At 41.4% G+C, this 26,337-nt stretch overlaps 1 long non-coding RNA gene across 3 annotated transcripts in view, besides 3 other annotated features; it reads left to right on the top strand.

Annotated features, from left to right (window-relative positions):
- The first annotated feature begins 9,164 nt into the window (after positions 1-9,164).
- SHROOM3-AS1 (SHROOM3 antisense RNA 1) overlaps positions 9,165-26,337 on the top strand; it is a 92,558-nt gene continuing 75,385 nt past the window's right edge. For 2 of the 3 annotated variants that reach the window (NR_187405.1, NR_187404.1), the window contains exon 1: positions 9,165-9,571. This is a non-coding gene — a long non-coding RNA (SHROOM3 antisense RNA 1). Of the gene's footprint in view, positions 9,572-9,638; positions 9,735-26,337 lie in introns of those variants that run through there. The other variant, NR_187406.1, reaches the window with a different exon arrangement.
- Positions 9,590-10,380: an enhancer, noted in NCBI's record as "H3K27ac-H3K4me1 hESC enhancer chr4:77722401-77723191 (GRCh37/hg19 assembly coordinates)". NCBI's record gives its function as "activates a minimal SCP1, AML or CMV promoter by ChIP-STARR-seq in naive H9 embryonic stem cells {active_cell/tissue: H9 hESC(naive)}" and the evidence as "EXISTENCE:reporter gene assay evidence [ECO:0000049][PMID:30033119]".
- Positions 24,031-24,530: an enhancer, noted in NCBI's record as "H3K4me1 hESC enhancer chr4:77708251-77708750 (GRCh37/hg19 assembly coordinates)". NCBI's record gives its function as "activates a minimal SCP1, AML or CMV promoter by ChIP-STARR-seq in naive H9 embryonic stem cells {active_cell/tissue: H9 hESC(naive)}" and the evidence as "EXISTENCE:reporter gene assay evidence [ECO:0000049][PMID:30033119]".
- Positions 24,531-25,032: an enhancer, noted in NCBI's record as "H3K4me1 hESC enhancer chr4:77707749-77708250 (GRCh37/hg19 assembly coordinates)". NCBI's record gives its function as "activates a minimal SCP1, AML or CMV promoter by ChIP-STARR-seq in naive H9 embryonic stem cells {active_cell/tissue: H9 hESC(naive)}" and the evidence as "EXISTENCE:reporter gene assay evidence [ECO:0000049][PMID:30033119]".

Below are 26,337 nucleotides of genomic sequence, written 5' to 3'. Positions count from 1 at the left end.
AGAATAATGGAAGCCAGGCAGAGCAGCATGCTCCTGATCCGAGCTACTCAGGATGCTGAAGGAGGAGAATCCCTCCCTTGAGCCTAGGAGTTTAAGACCAGCCTGGGCAACATAGCAAGACCCTTTATTTTTTATTTTTATTTTTTTTGAAGAGTGAGTCCCGAATGCCCCGCCACAACCTGCAGACCTTCCTGGCAGACCCTTGTCTATATTTCCCGCCTCATCTCCCATTCAGTAGACTCCCCACATGCTGGTCTTCTTTTGATCCTGCAAGCTCCAAACTCAGGCTCTTTATTGAACCCCTCAAAGGGAACCTGCTGTTCTCTTTTCCTAGAAAAGTGGTGTTCCTGGCCTTAGCTTACGAAAATGCTTTTCAAACTACAGATCATAACCCATTAGTGGGTGGTGAATTAATTTAGTGGGTCACAACTTACTTTTCTTTTTTTTTCGAGATGGAGTACCGCTCTGTCACCAGGCTGGAGTGCGGTGGCACCATCTTGGATCACTGCAACCTCTCTCTCCCAGGTTCAAGCCATTCTCCTGCCTCAGCCTCTCAAGTAGCTGGCATTACAAGCATGCACCACCATGCCCAGCTAATTTTTGTATTTTTAGTAGAGATGGGGTTTCACCATGTCAGGCTGGTCTCAAACTCCTGACCTCAAGGGACCTGCCCGCCTCAGCCTCCCAAAGTGCTGGGATTACAGGGATTACAGACGTAAGCCACTGCAACTGGCCCATAACTTATTTTTCTAAAAAAAAAATGTGTACATGTATATTCTGGATACTGTAAAATAAATTTCTTGCTAATGGGTCTTAGTTCATAAATGTTGACAGCCAGTGGCTTAGGAGTTGGTGGTGGATAATTCAGGCTTTGTTTTTTGTTTTTTGTTTTGAGACAAGGTCTCATTCTGTTGTGGAGTTCAGTAGCATGATCTCAGCTCACTGCAACCTTCACCTCCTGAGCTCAAGCAATCCTCCCACCTCAGCCTCCCAAGTAGCTGGGACTATAGGTACATGCCACCACAGCTGGATAATTTTTGTATTTTTTGTAGAGTCGGGGTTTTGCCATGTTGCCCAGGCTGGTCTTGAACTCCTGAGCTCAAGCAATCTGTCCACCTTAGCCTCCCAAAGTGCTGGGATTAAAGGCGTGAGCCACCACGCCAGGCCTTTTATTATTTTTTTCCCCTAATAGTGCAGAGGCACTATAACCAATGTTTGATAGAAGTGAATTGCACCTGGCCTCAAAGATCATTAACCAGCTTAACGAATTTTTGGTGTCCTATGTAGTGGAAGAAAAGAAGTGTGGGAGTTAACAAAATGAGCACAAATTCTTCCCTTCCCTGCTCTCTTGCCCTTGCAGTGTGATTGCAGCTCCACCTATCATGAGATGGACTTTATTTCTCGATCTCTGGAATCTGGGCCGAGCTTGTGACTTACTTTGATCAATGGAACAGGTAGCAAATATGACACAAGCAGAAACTTGAAAAGTCCTAGCACATTAGGGCTTGCCTACTCTTCCTACTCTTGAGAATCCCGTAACAACCACCTTATTTATAAGCCTCAGCAAGCCTGCTGGAGAACGAGTGACACGTGGCCCTGTTACCCCACTGCCCTAGCTGACAGCCAGCACCAACCACCAGACATGTGAGTGAGGCCATCCTAGGCTAAGTGCCCTCAGCTGACCCACTGATGAATTGCAAACACATGAGCAAACCCAGCTGGGATCAGCCAGGCCTGGCCCAGATCAGAAGAACCAGCCACTTGACCTGCAGACTTGTGAGTAACAATACGTGACTGTTGTTTTAAGCTACAAAGTTTCAGGATGGTTAGTTATTGCATCAAAAGCTAACTGATACAAGGAAAATGGGAATGGAAATGGAAGTTAAAAGAGGAAATAGATGAAGGCCAGGCACCCTGGCTCACACCTGTAATCCCAGCACTTTGGGAAGCGGAGGTGGGTGGATCACTTGAGGTCAGGAGTTCGAGACCCACCCTGGCCAACATGGCGAAACCCTGTCTCTACTAAAAATACGAAAAATAGCCGGGCATGGTGGCGCACACCTATAATCCCAGCTACTCAGGAGGCTGAGGCATGAGAATAGCTTGAACCCAGGAGGCGGAAGTTGCAGTGAGTCGAGATCATACCACTGCACTCCAGCCTGGATGACAGAGCAAGACTGACTCAAAAAAAGAAAAAAAAAAAAAAAGAAAAGATAAATGAAACAGATGTGAAAACGGAAGTTACAGTGAAATGAGAGGCTGTTGGCAATATTTATCCCTTCTCTCCAGGCCTACAGGGAGGCTGAATTCTTCGTCCTGCAGAACAGTAGGTCCATTCCTGAATCTCAGGGATGGTATTTCAAAGCCTAGCTCAATGTCTAACTTGTAGAATTATCCTCAGTAAATATTTGTTGAATAAATCAATGGCTTGGAGATAATTTCTTCCCTTTGAATTGTAAGATAAAGCTTGGAAATTGGCTAGCAGCTTCCAGTCTCCATGTTGTATACATTTGTGATTGACATAGTTTGGATATTTGTCCCCCCAAATCTCATGTTGAAATGCAATCCCCAGTGTTAGATGTGGGGCCTGATGGGAGGTGTTTGGGTCATGAAGGTAGATCCTGCATGGCTTGTCCTTGCAATAGTGAGTTCTCAGGAGATCTGGTTATGTAAAAGTGTGGCACCTCCCCCCATCACACTCCCACTCTCACCATGTGACACACCCATTCCTGCTTCACCTTCTCCCATGAGTAAATGCTCCCTGAGGCCTCCCCCGAAGCTGAGCAGATGCTGGTGCCATGCTCGTACAGCCTGCAGAAATTGAGCCAATTACACCTCTTTTCTTTATAAATTACCCAGCCTCAGGTATTCCTTTCTAGCAATGCAAGAATGGCCTAACACAGTGGTATTAATAGGAGCGTGGCTATGTATGGGATGCATGATTAAAAGTTCCACAGCAGGCACTGCTGTTTAGTCAACCCAATATCCTTTCCTAAACTCCCATTTCCTTGTCATGTTTTACTACAGAGGCTTGGAAAAGTTAATATTCCATTTTCCAGACTCCCTTGCAGCTAACAATGGCCAAATGATGAAGATCAATGAGATATAAATGAAAGTCTGCTGGAATGTTGCTGGAAAAAAATTTGCTTTTCTAATAAAAGCAGCTCTGGGGCTGGGCATGGTAGCTCACACCGGTAATCCCAGTGCTTTGGGAGGCAGAAGGAGGAGGATCACTTAAGGCCAGGAGTTTGAGACCAGCTTGTGCAACATAGTGAGTCCCCCGTCTTTATAAATACAAAAAAAATTAGCCAGGTGCGTGGTACACACCTCATACTTCTGGCTACTTGGGAAGCTGAGACAGGAGGATCACTTGAGCCCAGGAGTTTGAAATTGCAATGAGCTATGATTGCTTCGTTGCACTTCAGCCTGGGTAACAGAGTAAAACTCTGTCAAAAGAAAAAAGAGAAGAGAAGAGAGAAAAGACACTCTGGTTGGCATTGCCTACACTGCTCCTTTTCTACCTACTTTGAATGCAGATGTGATGCCTATAGCTGTTTGGATCAGCAGCAGCCATCCTTTGATGATAAGGGAAAGTCCAGAAAAATCACGGAGAACTTGGCTTTGATCATTGGGAATTCTGCAAAGTCTGCCGTGTCACATTTGCTGATTTCCCAATGGCTCAGAGTTAATATAGCAGAGGACCAAAGAAGGGTGTCGATACCAGGAAATGTGATTCACTGGAGCCATTAATATAACAATATACCACTACCTTCCTCAAGACACTTTATTTCCATCTGTTGAAAAATTGCTGTAGTATCCTCTTTTTATTAGAATAAGACATTGGACTTATCTGCCAAAAACTGTAACAAATACACAAATCTATGATGCCTAAAATGTGAACAGTACCTTCTCAGATGGCATTGTGGTGCAGTGCACAGCCTGCACAACCATACCTAGTGGCTGTAGTAAATCTTATCAGCCTACTTTAATTATGTGTTGAGGACTGGGTTCAAGTTTTATGTCTTTTTGGTGCTTCACACTTAATACCATGCCTACCATTTTATAAAAATGTGTCTTCTGTCACTTTCTATAAATTTCATTTATCTATAACAGAGCCCCTCTAAACAGTATTTATTACAGCGAGATCTCCAGACCACCTGCATAAAAATCACCTAAAGAACTTGATAAATGCAGATTCCTGGGCCCCACCCCAGACTTACTGGCCTAAAAGGTAAAGCTTCAACTTCTTAGCATGGTATCTGATATGGTTTGGCTCTATGTCCCCACCCAAATCTCATCTTGAATTGTAATCCCCACGTGTCAAGGGAGGGACCTAGTGGGAAGTGATGAGATCATGGAGGCAGTTTCCCCCATGCTGTTCTCCTGATAGTGAGTTCTGATGAGATCTGAGGGTTTTATAAGTGCTGGTTTCCCCTGCTCTTCTCTCCTTCCTGCTGCCTTGTGAAAAAGGTACTTGCTTCTCCTTTGCCTTCTGCCATGTTTGTAAGTTTCCTGAGGCCTCCCCAGCTATGCGGAGGCCTGACTCATTAACTGTGAGTCAATCAAACCTCTTTCCTTTATAAATTACCCAGTCTCAGGTATTTCATTATAGCAGTGTGAAAACAGATTAATACAGTGTATTAGTCTGTTTGTGCTGCTATAACAAAAACACTGTAGACTGGGTAACTGATAAACAGAAATTTATAGCTCACAGTTCTGAGGGCTGGAAAGTCCAAGATCAAGGTGGAAGCAGATTTGGTGACTGGTAAGGGTTTGTTCTCTGCCTTATAGATAGTGCCTGGTTGCTACATCCTCACATGGTGGAAGGGGTAAATGAGCTGCCTTCAGCTTCTTTTATAAAGGCACTCATCCCATTCATGAGAACTGAGCCTGACTTCCCAAAAGGCTGCCTGTTAATAGTCTCACATTGGGGATTGTTTCAACATAGGAATTTGGGGAGACACATTCAGAACTTTGCCTTCATCTTGGTCTTTCCACTGCCCCCAGCATTCTCCCAGGCAAATGCACATCCTGCACGTACACACAGCTGTGCTTAGCAAACTTCAAATATGCTAGACACTTATCTTGGGGCCTGAACTCTCACCATTCCTCCTTGGAATAACTCCACCTCCTCCTACTTGTCTAGTCTGGTGAAATTTCTCTTATCCTTCAAGGCGTAGCTTAAAGGCCAGCTTCTCTGAAAAACCGTTCCTATTGCCTCTTCCTCTGATTGGAGTCTGCTCTCCTGAGCTTTTCTTGCTACTTAACAGTGCTACTCCAAATGTACCAGTAAGTCTATAATTATTTTTCTTACATCTTATTTGTTACAGCTTCACATTTAGTAAGTCTTAATAAATGTTTTTCAATGAAGTCAACTTCTTTAAAACAATTATAATATTTTTAACATTAAAAAAACATAGTTTAATAATAAAATGGGTCTCGCTAGCCCAGCATGGTGTCTCATGCCTGTAGCACTTGGGGAAGCTGAGGCAGGAGGATTGCTTGAGTCCTGGAGTTTGAGACCAGCCTGGCCAACATATGGAGACCCTGTCTCAAAAAAAAAAAAAAAAAAATTAGCCAGGCATGGTGGCACAAAACTGTGGTCTCAGCTACCCAGGAGGCTGAGGCTGCAATGAGCCGTGATTATGCCGCTGCATTCCACCTTGGGCAGCAGAGCGAGACACTGTCTCAAAATCATCATCATCTGGATCCTATATCTCAGATTGTGCTAAACAAACCTCAAACACACACACAAACATACCCCCAGAAAGCCAGACAAAAGTTTTATTTAGGAAATAGTGGTAAAGGTTTTTCTCTCAACTTACAAAGAGAAATTAATTCAGAACATTTTATTTTGAGATGCAGTCTCACTGTTGTCCAGGCTGCAGTGCAGTGGCACAATCTCTACTCACTGCAACCTCCACCTCCTGGGTTCAAGCGATTCTCCTGCGTCAGCCTCCTCAGTAGTTGGGATTACAGGTGTGCACCACCACACCTGGCTAATTCTTTGGGATTTTTTTTTTTTTCAGTAGAGATAGGGTTTCTCCATGTTGGCCAGGTTAGTCTCAAACTGTTGACCTCAATTGATCCACCCACCTCGGCCTCCCAAAGTGCTGGGATTACAGGAGTGAGCCACAGCACCCAGTCCAGAACATTTTATTCTTAATGCTAGTATTTAGAGTAAATTTAGATCCAAGAGCATCTTACTTATATTTTATTTTTGTTATGGAAATGTCTAACATACATGAAAGTAGAGAGTCCAGCACAGTGATTCCTGAGTACCTATCACTCAGTTCCAACAATTGGATCTGCTGTTCTTTCAAATGATGCTAATTCTAAAACACTTTTATTCATTTAAAAACAGAGTTAAAAATCAATTAATTTAAAAACACCCTCGTGTGTGGGGTTGGAAAACCAGTCATGGTTTTAAAAGAATAACGTTATTAACAATCACCATCTGGTCATCGGTGGACACCTGAAGGTAGAAAGCCACCGTTTTCAACTGAGTGCCCTACTGGGGGAGAGGGGGTCTCAGACTGCCCAGGCAGGGGAGAGGACTGGCAACAGAGGAATCAGTACTGCCCTGCTGCTCAAATTCCCCAGTAGCTAGTTGAGCCAAGACAAGAAGAGCAATATGTGGGCCACAAGGTTCTTCAGGGGGAAATGGACATCAGAGGTTTTGACTGGGGTCCCAAATTCACAAGGAGCTTCATATTTAGACTTACATGACATCTTTAGTTACATTGTTTTGTGAGTGTGTGTTAAGGGACAATTTTTTAGTGTAAACACCTAAGATATTCTACAGTTTGTGTGACTTTTTGGCATTTATCAAAATTTTTTTTAAAAAGCGGTTCCGGGATCCTCTGTAAAAAGAAGTGGCTTGAGGTGCTCTTGACCGCTAGAAGACTCTGATAGAGGTTAGGTTAAAAACAAGCAGCACTTCTCAATTTTGGCCAAGATTTTCTTCACTACTAGCTCCTGGCTGAAGCTGATTGAAATAGCGTCAAGGATAAAATTGGGTTCAAGAGTGGCAAAAATGGAAAAAGAAAAAAAAAAGACCCAGAAGCCAATTAAATAAGGTGGTTGGAAAGGCAGGAAGGGAAGCAAAAAGGAAAAAATAAGAGATAAAGATAGGGTGGAGCACACTGCGAAGAGACCTGGCCGAGAGGAGAGGAGCAGTGTTCTCTTGGGGTCCACAAAAGGAAGTCTGGACTTAATTTTATTTAATCCAAGTGCTTTTGGCTTTCTTAGAAAGCAGGAAGCCAAGGCACAAAAAGTCAGGATCTTGATAATTAAATTTTTTTAAACCGGAAAGCAAATACCAGGATTTTCCCTAGAGACACACTCACCACAGGACACATGGGCGAGGGAGAGCCTGAATTGCTGTTTCTTATATAAACATTAAAACCCAAGGCTTTCCATCTGTCCCCACCCCTCACCCCCAATCCCCAACTGGTAGCTGTGAGAGTCCTCAATGAGACTCCTAGGAGGGCTTCCCACCGTCTGGGGCCACTCTGCTTCTCTGTAAGGGGGAAAACAATGAGAGGAATTCAGGGTTCCCTACTAGGCTGGCGCTGACCCACGATGGGGAAGCAGCCTCTTGGCGAAGAAAGGAGGAAGAAAGAAGAATTGCTGACTTGATTCCCCTCCCTCCCAAGGAACCCGGGAGGAGGGCATTGAGAAGTTGGTAGCATCCTGGAGAAAGGGTGGCCTTTGTGAAAAGTGCAGGCTCCACTGGATGCTTGAAATGACTGCTCCTGCCACCCTTTCTAAGGTCTCCTCCAGAAGGAGGGAGGAGCGCAGTGAGAGTGGGATGAGGACTTACTTCATCACACAAGGAAGGCTGGTGAACCAGTGACCACTGGGTGAAGAAAGAGAACTAGGGTCTGGAGAAGAGCCAATCGAGAAAGCCTGTGGGGCGGCTCATTAATGAGCTCATCCATCCAGGCAGGTTAAATTGCAGGCAACTGGGTTGCCCAGGAAGCAGCTGAAGTTTAGAGACTAAACAATATGCAATCACGATAATTTCCTCTGCCTGTGACTCATCTCGGAGGGTGTCCAGGTGATGGTGCAAAGATAGACTGAGAAAGAAGGCCTTTCTTTTCTAATAGCAAATGCAGAGAGAGCAGGAGCAATATTGTCAGGAATGCATTTCTCAGAAATCTAAAGAAGTGTTTTGTCACTTTATTTATAACATTTCAAAACTATTTTTGACTCGCACTACCTAATTACTTTGATTTTAGGTAGTGCAAAGCTCTTTGTAATACATAATAAACACACGCTTCCTCCCGCACCCCACTTAGGGAGAAAACAGAATGTTGGGCTTTTGCAGCCTGACAAGTTTATGTAACAAGCAGCATCCTTTTTGCTGTTTATGCATGAAGGGAAGCCATGGGAAAAATGGATGAAGTGTGGAATTCCAAGATTTTAATAAATATCAAACACAAGAAAAACTCTCCACTTGGTTGGGATGAATCGTGTTCTTCGTCAACTGCCTGTTAAAGCATTTTGATTCCATCTCAGGGAGGAGGAGGGAGGCAAGAAGGAGGAAAGAAACATCTTCAGGGTGCTCTTAGCAATGCATTCTTGCTTCCCGGCCCATGGCCTCTTTTCTCCTTAGAACTGTTTTTATCTTTTTTGGAGAACAAAGCCTCTTTCAACATTCCTTAGCTTACAGATGGGTAATGAGGCAAGAAGGAGGTGAAGTATCCTCACCGGCACCCAATATGAACCCAGTTCTCAAGTCCACTTATTTTTTTTAAACCTCACTGTCTCTGTTGTAGGGTTAATTCTCCTCCCGCCGCCTCTCTCAGGCCACTTCCCCTCCCCTCCCTGTGTATTTGCAGTCACAGAGCTCGTCTCAGAGGGGAGAGGAGAAGAGCTATTTGATCCTGGCCTCATGTCCATCAGGGGCCTCACATACGGCCTTTAGGCCTTATCTCCAGATGAGCTTATGCAGGCAGTCATTACAGTTGCATGCGTGTAAACAACACTGGTAATCAAGGCGGAGCTTTAAAATACAGCACAATTACAACTTTTTGTAGCTGTTTGGCATGTCTTCATTTAAAAAATACATTTAGGGCTTCAAAAGAAGTGGCTCAGGCCTCTTTCACCCGAGAAGCCTTGCGTGCACTGTTAGCAAACTCACACAAGTGAAGAGGGACCTTTCTTTGCTACACAGCGTCCTCCGTGGCGAGCTGGAGGGAAGCGCTCTCAGCAGAGAGGGTCGCCCTCACCAAGAAGCCAAAGGGAAGAGGACAGAATCTATCTTGTAGGGACGCCCTTGGTCTTCAGAAGGAACACTTTTTCTGTTTCACAGAGATCTGTGGAATGTGTGGGTTCCCTGAAGAGGTGGACGGACCCCCGGGGTCGCGCGTTTTCTCAGCCCTGGGCCCGTAGCGGAGCTCGATCCTTCCAGAGCTCAGGGCCAGAAATGTTGCGATTCCGAACACTTTGCCTTTCTTCTGAGAGGAGCCGCCCGGCAGACGCTCATCATTAAGAAGCAACGTAATTAACAACGAATGTTTCCCCTTGGCGCTAATGCGAACACCCTGGGGAACTGCCAAGTCTGGTAGGGGAATCGCAGCCGGGGGTGTCTGGGGGAAGCCAGCGTGGGCGGGCGCGGTGGGCCTGGGATTGCTTTTAGGCGCAGCAGCAAGGAGGGCGAGGGCGAGTGGAACAGAGGTCGGAGACCTTGCTAAGCTGCTGGCCTTTTCACGTTTCGGACCCTGAGAGTAAGCTGAGAGAATGGATGGGGTCAAGGCTGGGACAGGCTGTTGGCTACTGCCGGTGGGAGGGAATCCGGGCGGGAGACTGAGACCGGGCGGAAAGGAGGGAGACAGAGCACTCCCTCTAGGCGCTGAGGTCCGACACCCGCTTGATTTGTCAGTGCCGCCAACAGCCCTCCTCCTGTTGTCAGCAAGGACAGTCGGTAGGGCCTGCTGAGGGCCAGGCACAGTGCAGGGGCGAGCGCCCAAAGGTAGGGATCAGCCGCTGGTCTCTGTGCCCAGGGGTTCAAGGCCTGGGAGGAGACAGGCTTTGAAGACTTATAAAACAGTTGTGGGTGCTAATTTAGACATATTCCAGACATAGTCACAGGGCAGTCCCGACCAGAGGAGTTTAAGTCAGTGTTGTTACAATGCTTTATTTAATTAATATTATTTTTGGAAGGCTGTGTGCACCTGGAGGAGGCCAGCGGCTGTGTCTGTTTTGTTCACTGCTCTATCACTCCCACCTGGGATAACTCTTGGCAAATATGATGACAGCACCCATTGACGAGGTGCTTAAGATATATAAGGTTGGTGCAAAGTATTTATACGGTGCACCATATAAATACTTTATATTTGGCAGTCATCTGATCCTCAGCATAGCCTCGAGAGAGATTAGCCCCATTTTACAGATTATCAAACTAAGGCAAAGGATAATAGTGAATCTGGGTCTGAATGTAGTCCGTCTGGCTACAAAACCTGTGTTTTAAAATCATAGGCATAAATTGACTCAGAACTTGAAGAATGACTAGGAGACCAGGAGGGGTTGGGTCGGGGGAATTTTTGCTTTTATTTTCATAGTTTTGCTTCTCAGGTGTTGAGAGTAGTGCACCCTAAAAGTCCCGCTCATGTTTTGGTTGCCTGTGCTTGAGGGATATTACTCAAGAAACCTTTGCCCAGTCCAATGTCCTGGAGCGTTTTCCCATTGTTTTCTTGTAGTAGTTTCATAGTTCGAGGTCTTAGATTTAACTATTTAATCCATTTTGATTTGATTTTTGTATATAGTGACATGGGGTCTAGTTTCATTCTTCTACATATGGATATCCAGTTTCCCCAGCACCATTTATTGAAGAGATTGTCCTTTCCCCAATGTATGTTCTTGGCACCTTTGTTGAAAATGAATTCACTGTAGATGTATGAATTTATTTCTGGGTTCTCCATTCTGCTCCATTGGTCTATGGGTCTGTTTTCATGCCAATACTGTGCTGTTTTGGTTATAATAACTGTGTAGCACAATTTGAAGTCAGGTAATGTTCCTCCAGTTTCATTCTTTTTGTTCAGAATAGCTTTGGCTCTTTTGGATCTTTTGTGGTTGCATATACATTTTAGAATTTTTTTTTTCTATTTCTATGAAGAATGTCAATGGTATTTTTATAGAGATTGCAGTGACTCTCTAGAGTGCTTTGGGTAGTATGGACATTTTAACAATATTGATCTAGTCCATGAACATGGAATGTCTTTCAATGTTTTTGTGTCCTCTTCAATTTCTTGCATCAGTGTTTTATAGTTTTCATCATAGAGATGTTTCATTTTTTGATTAATTCCTATTTTATGTGTACCTATTGTGAGATTACTTTCTTGATTTCTTTTTCAGATAGTTCAGTGTTGACATATGGAAATGCTACTGATTTGTGTAGATTTTGTATCCTTCAACTTGACTGAATTTATCAGCTCTAATAGTTTTTTGGTGGAGTCTTTAGGTTTTTCCAAATATAAGATTTTATCACCAGCAAATAAGGATAATATGACTTCTTTCTATTTGGATGCTCTTTCTTTTGTCTTTCTTCCTTCCCTCCTTCCCTCCTTCCTTCCTCCCTTCCTTTGCTCTTTTCTGCCACTCATGTTTTATATTCACTGAGGTTCAACAGGTTTTGGCCCAATTGCCTGTCTCAATTCTGAAGTAAGCATCTCAGGCACTATTGTTCATGATGCAATGAGTGAACAAATGAGTGAACAATGAGAGGCATTGTTCATGATGCAATGCATTTGTTCATGATGCAATGAGAGGCAATGAGTGAACAAAAAGGGGAAAACTTGGTTCTATCCCTGTACAGAATTATATACAGTGTGAAAGCTAAGAGATGGGGCCATATGCAGTTGGGCAAATGTAAACCAAGTAAAGTTTATTTTTGCTGCCCTGTGGAATTGTACATTCTCTCATCTAGGTCTTTTTAATCTCTTAGATACCTAGCTGCTTTCTTTTTGTCTAGACCTGTACGGTACTTAGGAAAAGAACTGTAACTCAAGCACAGTAGGTGCAAATAGCTAATATTTGTAACTTCAACAAGCATTTAATGAGCTTACCCTTGTTAAATCAAACTAAAATCTGGCCTGAGAAAGTCTCTGTACTCACATAGTTGAGTCCTTATGGATAAACCGTAAGCTACCTTGGTAGGTAGACAAACTATGAACCTGATTTAGGAGTATGTAATAAGAGCTGAGTCTTAGCCAATCCTGAGGCAGAAGAATAGGGTCCACTCACAGGCGGCCAACTGTTCAAATTGTGTCCAAATAAGGCAAAGGCTGAGCTGTAACCAGTCTGGCTGTTTCTGTACCTCACTTCCGTTTTCTATATGTCACCTTCCTTTTTCTGTCCATAAATTTGCTCTGCCCACGTTGCATTGCTCGAGTTGCTCCAAATCTGTAATTCTGAGGGCTGTCCAGTTTGCGAATTTTTTTTTTTTCTTGCTTCGTTTTTACAGTGGGAAAGAGGAGAGAAGAGTGTAGGTTTTTAGAAAGGAAATAGGAAACTTATGTCTTTTAAGACCTTTTAGTGATTAGAAGAGAGCATGTATATGAATAACTGGGTTCTAAATCTTGGATATTTTGAGATCGTAAGTCAGGCCTTTTCTCTAAATTCTTTTCCTCCCCCTATCTAGGGCAAGGGATCTGGCTGAATGGGGAAACTAGGAGGAGGCTGCAACCCTTTATGGCTTTTATGTTTAAAAGTCCAAACTCTTAGGCAAAGGAAATTCCCTAGGACAGATGATCCCTCTTAGAAGAACAGAGGAGAAGAGCTAGTGCTCCCTAACACCCTAAAATCTACCAGTTTCTGGAAACAGAGGGGCTCCACTGGCCTGCTGGCTTGCATGAATAAGTAGTAAGTGCTCAGATTAGAAATGTTTGTGTGTGGTTCAGGAGTGGGTGGTCACAAAATTTATTGGCCAAACCAGGATACATTTGACAGAGAAAGGGGGCACTGTTAATTACACTGCAACAATAAGCATGAACTAGCACCGTCCCAGGCAGACTGGGATATACAGCAGAATGAAACATAGGCAGCTTCAGAAACTATTAGAATGCCCTAAGCAGGATGCAGAAGTAACCAAACCACTGGGCCTGAAGGGCCATGCACATAGGAGTGATGGGTGGATAGCCCAGTGTAACCTGGGTGATAATTAATTGCTGACTCCTGGAGCCCTCTCCTTTCTCTCAGGCAATAACATGATTACTGTTTATTCATTAAACATGGAAAGGATAAAGGAGGGAAGGAGCAACTAGACTGTAATAAACTGTAAGCCTTGAAAGAGCAGGGATTATGTCCACTTTGTCCATCTACTTCTAGCAGAGGGATTTCAAAGTAAAACCCAATAACTATTGAATGAATGAATGAGGTAAATCTGTATCCTAGGAATAACGGTGGTACTAATAACAGATATAGAGGGTTTAGGAGGGAAGAGAGTTTTGGTTTTGAAAATATTGGCCTTGACCAGGAACTGTGGGTCATGCCTGTAATCCCAGCACTTTGGGAGGCCAAGATGGGAGGGTCACTTGAGGCCAGGAGTTGGAGGCCAGCCTGGGCATCATAGCAAGAGCCCATCTCTACAAAAAATAAAATAATTAGCTGGATGTAGTGGCACACACCTGTTGTCCTGGCTGCTCAGGAGGCTGGAGCAGGAGCATCGCTTAAGCCCAGGAGTTTGAGGCTGCAGTGAGCTATAATTACAGCACTGCACTCCAGCCTGGGCAACAGATCCAGACCCTGTTTCCAAAGGAAAAAAAAAAGGGAATACTGGCTTTGAGGTGGCAGTGATATAGTTCCAAGGAACTATCTATGAATCATGTGGACATGTGCAACTGTAGCAAGGGAAGTGAATGCTTGGGAGCCAGATGCATGTTAATTGTGACTGCTGGTCACTTAGGGAGAGAAAAGAATAAGACCGAGTTCTAGGGGACTGGAGGAAAATAATCCAAGGGAGGCAATAAGGAATTATCAAACTACTGTATTTGAATTTCAACAAGGGTCAAAGCTTAAGTTAAAGGAATGACTCTTTGAGGATAGAATTGAACTCACAGAGGTGGGATAGGAGGGAATGGGTGAGAATGGACCGCTCAGTAGGTAAACATTATTCACTGGGGCAGGCTGTTAATTAGTCCCAGTACCGATTTTTTCTTCCTTCATTTAGTAATAGAGGCCCTACACCCTCACTGAGTTTTTTTTCCTCAACAATTTATTTTGAAAATGTTCAAACAACAAAAATACAAGAATTTTACAATAAAAACAGATATACCCACCATCTAGATTCTACCATTAACATTTTATGGCCAGGCGCAGTGACTCACGCCTGTAATCCCAGCACTTTGGGGGGCCGAGGCGGGCGGATCACGAGGTCAGGAGATCAAGACCATCCTGGCTTACATGGTGAAACCCCGTCTCTACTAAAAATACAAAAAATTAGCCGGGCGTGACGGTGGGCGCCTGCAGTCCCAGCTACTCAGGAGGCTGAGGCAGGAGAATGGCGTGAACCCGGAGGCGGAGCTTGCAGTGAGCCAAGATGGCGCCACTGCACTCCAGCCTGGGTCAAAAAAAGCAAATAAAAAAAAAACACAAAAAAAACATTTTATGGTTCTTGTTTGAGCACTGATCTAACTATCCTTTTAAATGTTGACATATTTCAAAAAAAATTGCAGTCACTTTTAAATTCTTCTGCGTTACCTGTCATTACCCAGAGTTCAATATTTGTTTAGTTCTTCTTTTGTTATGAAATTTAAATTCAATAAAATGCACAAGTCTTAAGTGTATATGCACTGAATTTCCCCAAATAATAATTTTATTATAAATATTATAATAATATCTATATCTATTATAATATATATTTTATTGTAAATTTTTGAAATATACATCATACTTAAAAGAATTTTGTAATGAGCCCCTGTATACTCACCACCTAATTTTACCTTAACAGTTTATTATGCTTGCTTTCTTAATCTATCCACTCATCTGCTTCTCTCTCAACCTAATTTTTGAGGCGTTTCAAATACCTTATTTCTCTCAAATGCTTCAACATGGGTATCAATCAGAGATAAATATATATTTACAATTTGCTTTCATTTGATGCAAAATTTACATGCAGGAAAATACACAAATTTTAAGTGTACATTCACTGAATTTTAACGCACACGTACACCCATGTAACTTGAGCCTCAATGAAGTTCTAGAACATTACCATCACCCCAGAAAGTTCCCTTTTGCTCCTTCTCACTCAATCCCTGCCCCACTTGCCCCAGAGTTTTAATGTTTCTACCATAGATTTCATTTGCTTAATGGAATCATACAGTATATGTATACTCTTTTGTGAAAGGCTTTTTTCACTCAGCATAATATTTTTGAGATTCATTCATGTTGTTGCTTTTATCAGTAGTTCATGTCTTTTTATTACTGAGTGGTATTTTATTGTGTGAATATACCAAGTTGTCTGTTCTATTGGTGGATATACCTGAGCTGTTTCCAATTTGGGGATATAATGAGTAAAGCTGCCATGAATGTTCTTATACATGTCTTGTAGTGGATGTATGTTTTCATTTCTCATGAGTAAATACCTGGGATTGGATTGCTGGGTTATAAGGGTAGGAATATAGGTTAAGATCTGTAAGGAACTGCCAGATATTTTCCCCAAAATGTTTCTAACTCTTACACTCCCATCAACACGGTGTTAGAGTTCTTGTTGCTCTATGCTTACCAACATTTGGAATTGTCAGTCTTTTAATTTTGGCCATTGTGGTGGCTATGTAGTCATAACCCATTATGTTTTAAATTTGCATTTCCCTGATGATTAATCATGGTGAGCACTAGCCTGTTAATTGCCTATTCATGTGATGACTTGCCTATTAATTGTCTCAATAATAGCTTTTTGATGAGTAGAAGTTTTAAATTCTGATGAAATTTATATATGTTTCTGGCTTTCTGTGACCAGTGTCACAAAACTTTGCCTTTCCCTAAGTCACAGAGATATTCTCATATGTTTGCCTCTAAAAGCTTTATGATTATAGCTTTTATGTTTAGATCTATGATTTGATGGGGTTCAAGACACACTACCCTAACAACTTGATATTTGAGGAAAGAACAGAAGCAAGAAGGTCATTCTTTGAACTTCTCCTGCCCTTCTTCCCTGACCCAGGCCATAAAAGAGTTGACCTTCCCTTGAAGTAGGCCATATGACCCTTATGTGAACTTTGAAGACCCAGAGATGTCCAGAAGAATCTGAACAAACAGGCCTTGCTAAATTCTCCACAGTTTATTACCATTAAATCCTATCCCTTTTGTCCAGTTTTGCTTCTCAACTATCCACTTCATCAAACTTAGCATAGAAACATAGTTTTTCCTGTTTCTTTGGGTCTTCATTTCTGAAGGCTCTTGTGTCACATACAACTTAAATATATTTGTATGCTTTTCTCTTGTTAGCCTGTCTTTTGTTATAGGTTCCTCAGCTGTGAATCTGGTGATGGGTGAGACAGATTCATTTACAGTTGACTTTTGTGTGTGGTGTGAAGAGGGACCCAGTTTATTTTTTTCCAGTATGAACATCAGATTATTACAGTTTTATTTGTTGAAAGGACCTTCTTCCCTATTTGTTTTGGTGCCTCTTTTGAAAAATCAAATGGCCCTGTAAGTGCCATCCTATTTCTGGGCTGTATTCTGTTCCATAAATCTGTATCTTGATCCTTAAGCCAGTACCACACTTTCTTGATTAATCTTTATGGTAAGTCTTGCAGTCAGGTAATATACATACTCCAAATTTGTTGTTATTTTTCAAAATGCCTTAGCTATCCTAGAGTCTTTGAAAATCCATATAAATTTTATAACAAGCTTGTCAATTAAAAAAGGCTGGGATTATTATCACTGGATTACATTGAATCTATGATCAGTTTGGGTAGAATTGGCATGTTTCCATTTATTTTAAATGCCTTAATTTCTCTCAGTAATGTTTTATAGTTATCAGTAGAGTAGTCTTGCATGTCTTTGACTATATTTGTTCCTGAATATTTTATTTTGTTTTTGAGATGGAGTCTTGCTCTGTCACCCAGGTGGGAGTGCAGTGGTGCAATCTTGGCTCATTGCAACCTCTGTCTCCTGGGTTCAAGCAATTCTTCTGCCTTAGCCTCCTGAGTAGCTGGAATAACAGGTGCCCACCACCATGCCCAGCTAATTTTTGTATTTTTAGTAGAGATGCAGTTTCACCATGTTGGCCAGGCTAATCTCGAACTCCTGATCTCAGTTGATCTGCCTGCTTCAGGGTCCCAAAGTGCTGGGATTATAGGCATGAGCCACTGTGCCCAGCCCTGAATATTTTATTTTATAATACAATTATAAATTAAAGTTCTGGTTAGTTTTCAGTTGTTTGCTGCTAGTATACAGGAATACAATTGTTTTTGTATATTTACCTTATATCTTGAAACCCTGTTAAATTCACTTATTAGTTCTAACAGTTGTTTTAGATTGCTTTAGACTTTTTTGTAAACAATTACATCATATGCAAATAGAGATAATTTTACTTCTTCCTTTGCAAGTTTTTGTCTTTTATTCTTTTTGCCTCATGGCAAAGGCTAGGACCTCCACTATAACGTAAAATAGAGGTAGTTGCAGTGGATATCCTTGCCTTGATCCCAATTTTAGGGGGAACTTTCAATATTTCACTATTAAGTATAACATTAGCCATAGATGTTTGGGTTAATTGTATTTTTTGAGGAAGTATCCATTTCCTCTACATTGTTGAAATTTTTTTGCGTAAAGTTCATAATATTCTCTTGTTAGATCCTTCCTGATGTAGGTAATTTATATTCTCATTTTTTTTCCTGGATTAAATTGGGGAATTATCAGTTCTGTTGACTTTTGCTTTTGTTAATTTCCTCAGTTGTTTTTGTCCTTTGTTGAGTTTTGTTCTTGCCTTTATTATTTTCTTCTTCCTCCTTAGTTTTGGTTTGCTCTACCTTTATTAAAAAAAAAAAAAAAAGAAAGAAACACAGTCAGACTTGCTCAGCCTCGCTGGTAGCTAGGACTACAGGTGCACACCACCATGCCCAGCTGATTTTTTTTATTTAAAAAAATTTTTTGTAGAGATGAGATCTTGCTGTGTTATCCAGGCTAGTCCCAAATTCCTGCGCTCAAGCAATCCTTTTGCCTTGGCCTCCCGAAGTGCTAGGATTACAGGCGTGAGCCATTGTGCCCAGCTGGAGCTTTTAAAGTAGAACCTTAGCTATTGATTTTAGTCTATTCTTCTTTTCTGTTATAAGCATTTTCTACCATAGATTGTATTGGCAAATAGAATCATGATGTATACATATACACACTATTAATTTCCCTCTATTCACTTCCTTCAATGTATTCCACAATTTTTGATGTATTTCATTATTACTCAGTTTAAAGTATTTTCTAATTTTTCTTATCTCCTCTTTGGTTTGGGTACAGTATGAAAGCATTTTAATTTCCAAATATTTGGGATTTTCCTACATATCTTATTGTTACTTCTAATTTCATTGTCAGGGAATATAATCTGTGGTTTTAATGCTTTTCATTTTATTGAGACTTGTTTTATGGGCATGTATATGGTCTATCTTGGTGCGTATATCATGTGTAATTGAAAAATGTGTATTCTTCACTTATTAGGTTTAATGTTCTAAAATATCAGTTAGGTCAAGATAATTGACCTTGTTCCAATCATCTGTGTGCTTACCGAGAATTTTTGGCCTAGTTTTTACTATTTTTTAAAAATCTTGCTTTAAGTTCCAAGATACGTGTGCAGAACGTGCAGGTTTGTTACATAGGTAAACATGTGCCATGGTGGTTTGCTGAACCTATCAACCTGTCATCTAGGTAGTAAGCCCCACATGCATTAGGTATTTATCCTATTAATTGATTAGGGAGAGATATTAAGATCATAGATTTATATTCTCTCTTTAATTTTGTCAATTGTGTTATGTATTTTGAAGCTTTTCAAATAGATATGTATTATATTTTTTGATGAATTGACACTTTTATCACTATGAAATTGCCCTCTTTATCTGTGGTAAAACTTTTAGTCTTGTATGTATTTTATCTGATATTAATATAGCCACTTCAGTTTTATGGTTACTGATTGCATGGTACTGATTGCATATCATTTTTCATCTAATTACCTTTAATATATTACTTTCTAAATATTTAAGTGTATCTTGAAAATAAAGTTGGGTCTTGGCTTTATAATTTATTTGGACAATTACTACCTTTAAATTGGAATGTTTAGCTCACTAAAATGTAGTACAGTTACTGATAATGTTGAGTTTAGGGTTAAAGTATTAATGTTTTCTGTTTGTCTCCTTTCTTCTTTGTTTCTCTGTTCTTCCTTTCCTGCTCTCTTTTGAAGTCAGTATTTTTTAAAATTTCTTTCTTTTTTTTTTTTTTGAGATGGAGTCTTCCTCTGTCACCCAGGCTGGAGTGCAGTGGTGCAATCTCAGCTTACTGCAAACTCTGCCTCCCAGGTTCAAGTGATTCTCCTGCCTCAGCCACCAGAGTAGCTTGGATTACAGGCATGCAACCATGAGCAGCTAATTTTTGTATTTTTTTTTTCAGTAGAGATGGAGTTTCATCATGTTGGCTAGGGTGGTCTCCAACTCCTGACCTCAAGTGATCTGCCCACCTCAGCCTCCCAAAGGGCTGGGATTACAGGCATGAGCCACTGTGCCTGGCCAAAATTTTATTTTAACTTATTAACTGGCCTTTTAGTTATAACTTTTTGCATTTTAAAATTCATAGTCTAGAGATTACAATTACAGACTCCTGGTTCTTTGTAATTTATTAAAATCCTTCATTTTTTCTGTTATTCAAACTGAATTCCTATTGATCTATTTAAAGTTCACTGACCCTTTCATCATCTCTATTTTGCCTTAGATATGTTCAGTATGAGGTCAACTTTTTTAGCCTCCACTATGAGTGAGAGCATACTGTGTTTGTCTTTGTGTCTGGCTTATTTCACTTAAGATAATGTCCTCCTAGCTCAACCATGTTGTCATGAATGACAGAGATTTGTTCTTTTTTGTGGCTAAATAGTGTTCCATTGGGTATATATAACACATTTTCTTTATCCATTCATCTATTGACTGACACTTAGGTTGAGTCTATCTTAGGGTATTGTGAATAGTGCTGGAATAAAGATGGGGGTGCAGATACCTCTTTGACATACTAATTTCCTTTCTTTTGTATATATACCCAGTAGTGAGATTGCTGGATTATGTGATAGTTCTGTCTTTAGTTTTTTGAAGAACCTCTGTACAGCTTTCCATAATGTCCGTACTAATTTACATTCCCACCAAGATTGTATAAGAGTTCCCCCTTCTTCACATCCTTGCCAGAATTTATTTTTTGTTTTTTTGATAATAGCTGTTCTAATTGGACTGACATGATACCTCATTGTGGTTTTGATTTTTGTTTCTCTGATGTTGAAAATTTAGTGATGTTGAGCATTTTTTCATATCCCAGCTGGCCATTTGTATGTCTTCTTTTGAGGTGTTTATTGAGCTCATTAGCCCATTTTTAAATGGTTCTGTGTGAATTTTAGGATTTTTTTTTCTATTTTTGTGAAGAATGTCATTAGTATTTTGGCAGGGATTGTATTGAATCTATAGATAGCTTTTGGTAGTATGGTCATTTTCACAATATTAATTCTTCCAAGCCATGAACATGGAATATCTTTTCTTTCTTTTTTTTTTTTTTTCATCCTCTTACATTTCTTTCATTGGTGTTTTATAGATTTTCTTCTAGAAATCTTTCACCTGCTTGGTTCATTTTATGCCTAGGCCTTTTATTATTATTTTTTGGTAGCTATTGTAAATGGGATTACTTTGACTTCTTTTTCTGCTACTTTGTTGCTGGTGTATAGAAATGCTATTGATTTTTGTATATTGATTTTGTACACTGCAACTTTACTGAATTTATCAGTTCTAAGAGTTTTCTAGTACAGCTTTTTAGGGTTTTCTATATATAACGTCACATTATCTGCAAACAGAAAATTTGACTTCCTCTTTTCCAGTTTGGATGCCCTTTATTTCTTTCTGTTGCCTAATTGCTCTGGCTAGGAATTCCTGTACTATGTTGAATAAAAGTGAGGAAAGTGGACACTGTTGTGTTGTTGCAGAGTTTGGAGGAAAGGATTTCAACTTTTCCTCATTTGGTATGATGTTGATTGTGAGTTTGTTATATATGGTCTTTATTGTGTTGAGGTATATTCTTTCTATACTTACCTTGTTGGAGGTGTTTATCATGAAGGTATGTTGAATTTTATCAAATGCTTTTTCCGTGTCTATTGAGATGATCATATGGTTTTTGCCCTCTATTATATTAATGTGATGTATCGTGTTTATTGATTTGCATATGTTAAACTATACTTGTATCCCTGGGATAAATCTGGCTTGATTATGTATGGTGAATGATGTTTTTAATGTGCTGCCAGATTCAGTTTGCTATTATTTTGTTGAGCATTTTTGTATCTATGTTCATCAGGAATATTGGCCTATAGGGGGGTGTGTGTGTGTGTGTGTGTGTGTGTGTGTGTGTGTGTCTGTCCATCCTTGTCTGGTTTTGATATCAATACTGGGCTCACAGAACGAGTTTGGAAGAATTTCTTCCTCTTCAATTATCTGGAAGAGTTTGAGAAGAATTGGTATTAGTCCTTCTTTAAATGTTTGGTAGAATTCCACAGAAAAGCCATTGGTTCCTGGGCTTTTCCTTGATGGTAGACTTTTTTTTTTTTTTTTTTTTTTTGAGACGGAGTCTCGCTCTGTTGCCCAGGCTGGAGTGCAGTGGCATGATCTCGGCTCACTGCAAAACTCTGCCCCACCCAGGTTCACGCCATTCTCCTGCCTCAGCCTCCTGGGTAGCTGGGACTACAGGCACCCGCCACTACAGGCCTGGCTAATTTTTTTGTATTTTTAGTAGAGACGGGGTTTCACCAGGTTAGCCAGGATGGTCTCGATCTCCTGACCTTGTGATCTGCCCATCTCAGCCTCCCAAAGTGCTGGGATTACAGGCGTGAGCCACCACGCCCGGCCCCTTGATGGTAGACTTTTTATTACAGATTCAATCTTGTTACTTGTTGGTGTATTTAGACTTCCTATTTATTCTTGGTTCAATCTTGGTAGGTTGTATGGTCCAGGAATTTATCCATTTTTGCCAGGTTTTCTAACTTGTTGGCACATAGTTGTTAGTAATAGTTTGTAGTGATCCTTTGTATTTCTGTAGTGTCAGTTGTACTGTCTCCTTTTTTGCTTCTGATTTTATTTGGGGTTTTTCTCTTTTTTCTTGGTTAGTCTAGCTAGTGGTTTGTCAATTTTTGTTCATCTTTTCAAAAAACCAACTTTTCATTTCACTGATTTTTTTTTAATTGTATTTGTTTTTAGTCCGAATTTTGTTTCTTTCTGCTCTGATCTTTAGTATTTCTTTCCTTCTAATTTTGGGTTTGGTTTATTCTTGCTTTTCTAGTTTCTTGAGACACATTGTTACACTGTTTATTTGAAACCTTTAAATTTTTTTGATGTAGGTGTTTATTGCCATAAATGTTCTTCTTAATACTGCTTTTGTTGTATTCCATAGGTTTTAGTATGTTGTTTCTATTTTCATTTGTTTCAAAAAATTTTAAAAGTTTTTCCTTTTTTATTTCATTTTTTTAGAGACAGGATCTTGCTCTGTTCCCCAGGCTGGAATGCAGTGGTGTAGTCATAGCTCATTGCAGCCTTGAACACCTCAGCTCAAGCAATCCTCCTGTCCCAGCCTCCTGAGTAGCAAGGACTATAGGAGACTGCCACTATGCCTGGCTAATTTTTTAAAAAAGTATTTTGTAGATATAGACTCTTGCTATGTTACTGAGGCTTGTCTCAAACTCCTGGGCTCAAGCAATCCTCCTGCCTCAGCCTTCCCAACGGATGGGATTATAAACATGAGCCACCGTGCCTGGCTAATTTCCTTCTTGACTTCTTCATTGACCCATTGGTCATTCAGGAACATGTTGTTTAATTTCCATATTTGTAAAGTTCTTCTTATTGATTTCTATTTTTATTCTATTGTGGTCAGAAAAGATACTTGACATAATTTTAATTATTTAAAAATTTTCAAGACTTGTTTTGTGGCCTGACATGGGGTTTATCCTGGAGAGTATCCCATGTGCTGATAAAAAGAATATGTATTGTGCAGCTGTTGGATGAAATGTTTTGTAAATGTCTGTTAGGTTCATTTGACCTAAAGGGCAGTTTAAATCCAATGTTTCTTTGTTAATTTTCTGTCTTGATAATTTGTCCAGTGCTGACAGTGGGGTGTTGAAGTCTTCTTCTATTATTGTATTCAAGTAGATGAGGGGAGTTAAAGGGATTCCTCTTGGTGTCAGGTATGACATGGTCTACAAGCAGCTGCATCAGCACTGGGTTTGAGGTGCAGGTGCTCAGAGCAGCTGTAGGGCTCAGAGTCTTACAAACCCATTGTGGCACTTGGGTCTTGGGGTGTAGATTTGCTCTCTGTGGCAGGGTTGGATGTAGGTTGCCCACACTGCCAGAATCGGTAACTCTGAGTCATCCCTTGTAGCTCAGGCAGGGTTGTGGTGATGGTTCTTCCACTGGATGCAGGCACACCACTGGCCAGACTCAGGAAGAACAAGGTGCTCTGGAGGTTTGGGCCTGGGGAGCAGGAGATCCCTGCAATCTGGGAACTTGAGCCAATAGGGCTCAGTGGCAACTCAGGTCCCATAAGGTGACCGTGTAGTAGTGACTCTAAACTAAGCTTATCTAACTTATGGTGTGTGGCCACATGTGGTTCAGATGACTTTGTATGTGGCCCAACACAAATTCATAAACTTTCTTAAAACATTGAGTTTTTTTTTTAAGCTTGTCAGCTATTGTCACCTTTCGTTAGTGTTAGTGCATTTTACGTGTGGCCCAAGACTATTTTTCTTCCACTGTGGCCCAGGGAAACCAAATGATTGGATACCCCTCCTCTAGACCATGGGATGGTGGGACCCGGCAGTGTCCCAGAGTGAGAGGCCAGGTGCGGTGGCAGCAAGTGTCCCAGAATGGTGGAGCACATCTCTCATTTGGGCCTTGGGGGAGCAGGGAACAGCAAGTGATATCTTCACTTCCCAAGAAGAGGGGCATCTCAGCAGTTTGTACTTGAGGGAGCTAGTCCAGCCCCAAGGAAGCACAGGGTACTGGAGTTGTTTGGCCTGTAGGGCAGGGTGTCTCACCTCAACCACTGCTCTATTTCCCTGGGATATGGGGTACTACATCAGCTCAGCCCTGGAATCACAGCTGCTCAGCTTGGCCAAGGCACCGATTCCCCAGGGGCTGTGCTGCTTCAGGACTGGGAGGCATGACTGTTCTGGGTGGCTCAGGGACCATTTCCCTCAGTTGCAGGGCCCTGCATCAGCGTAAGTCCTAGGGTGCATGGCTGCTCTGCGTGGCAGCCAAGGCATCATTTCTTGGGATGCAGAGTGCTGCTTCAACTTAGGCATAGGGGAAGAGTGGCTGCTCTGAACGGCTTAGGTACTGTTGCTGGGAGGCAGGGTGCCACTTCAGCTCCGGCCTGAAAGGGCAGGGGTAGGGGTAGGTGGAGTGACTCCACCTCTGCTTGGCCCTGGGGAAGGCTGTAACAGCTACTTGCAGCTCAGCTTGGGGATGTCAGGCCACTGGGATGGGGTGGTTTAGTGGCAGCTTAGCCTCAGGGATGAAAGGGAGCCGTGGCTATGCACCCCTGGAGCAAGACACACTCCAGCTGTAGTTTTAGTTCCAAGATGGTATAGCGCAGCAGCCACATGGGCCGTGGGGCACAGCATGGTGTTGGCTCCTTCTCTGGGAGGAGCACGCTATGTGGACTCCAGGCAGCTCCCCCAGCTGGGTTGAGTAACTGTGAGGACTGCAGGGGACTCCAGTGGTGAGGTTTGTAGATATCCAAGGTGCTGATGGGGATTTATGGAATCCTCTTACCTCCTCACCATAAGAAGAAGTTCTTCCTGGTTCCCAGCTAGTCCCAGTTTGGGGACAGGGCAATAGAGGCCCAGGATTTCCTTCCATTCTCTTTGGCCATCCTGAATTTCTCTGCTCACTGGGGTTTCTGTTACTTCTCTGATGCACCGTCCCTCACTTATTTTTGTTAAAATGTAGTTGTTTATTCATTGTTCTGGTTGTCATTGTGAGAGAGACGAGCACCAGGGGCTTCCAGTTGGCCATCTTGCTCAATGCCACGAATCTCCTGTAGATAGAAGTCTTTATTTGGTACTTTCTACTGATTTCTGATCAATATGATCTGAAGAGCTGTAGTTCTACTTTTGTTAGCAGACATACCATATATCTTCTCAATTACCTGTGTGAATGCACATATTTAATCATCCAGAGTCATGATGAACACACAGTTTTCCTGCTGTACCTCCCTTCCTACACATGCGTCTCTCTCATCTACCTGTAGAGGCACATTACTTAACCACACCGTAAATTGATTTTCTTAGTTTCTTCTTCCTAAGCACATTACTCCTTAGTTAGCTTTTAACCAACATTTGCAAGAAGGACTTACAATTTGTTTTGTTTGTTTGTTTGTTTGTTTGTTTGAGACAGAGTCTCACTCTGTTGCCCAGGCTGGAGTGCAGTGGTGCGATCTCATCTTACTGCACCCTCCGCCTGCTGGGTTCAAGCAGTTCTCCTGCCTTGGCCTCCAGAGTAGCTAGGACCACAGGCATGCACCACCACACCTGGCTAATTTTTTTTTTTTTTCAGTAGAGACGGGGTTTCAGCATGTTGGCCAGGCTGGTCTCGATCTCCTGACCTCAAATAATGCACCCACCTCAGCCTCCCAAAGGGCTGGGATTACGGGCTCACTCTGTCTCAAAAAACCAAAACAAAACCAAAACAAAAAAACAAAAAACACATTGAGTGATACATTATCAAACTGAGGTTGACCTTTTGAGGCAACTTGGAAGATGTTGTTTGTTCTTTTTATCCTAAGCTTAAGTTCCTTTTCTGCCTATCTACTTTCACTGGAAGGAGACATCCGACTACCTCCCTGCCTTTTAATAAATCTGCTCTAAACCATTGCATACAAGGTTAGGTATTCTATTTCTTTTTTTTCTTTTAATCTTTGAGGGAAGATGGGCTTTTAAAATTCTCATTTCCGTATCCATGAGCTGCCTTTGAATTGTTCCTTTTTATCAAATCAATTTTTATTACTACAAAATAAAGCCAATTCCTATATTCTGTTCTAATTAGAGATGAGGAATAGTTCTCATTCACTCTTACATATATTTAAACAATATTGCAACATCTTCTTTATATTTATTAAAATTTAAAA

Source organism: Homo sapiens, chromosome 4, assembly GCF_000001405.40.
Source record: "Homo sapiens chromosome 4, GRCh38.p14 Primary Assembly".
In the NCBI taxonomy this organism is placed as follows: Eukaryota; Metazoa; Chordata; class Mammalia; order Primates; family Hominidae; genus Homo; species Homo sapiens.
Note: the sequence above shows the minus strand (reverse complement) of the source record. Positions and strands in the feature narration are given on the sequence as shown.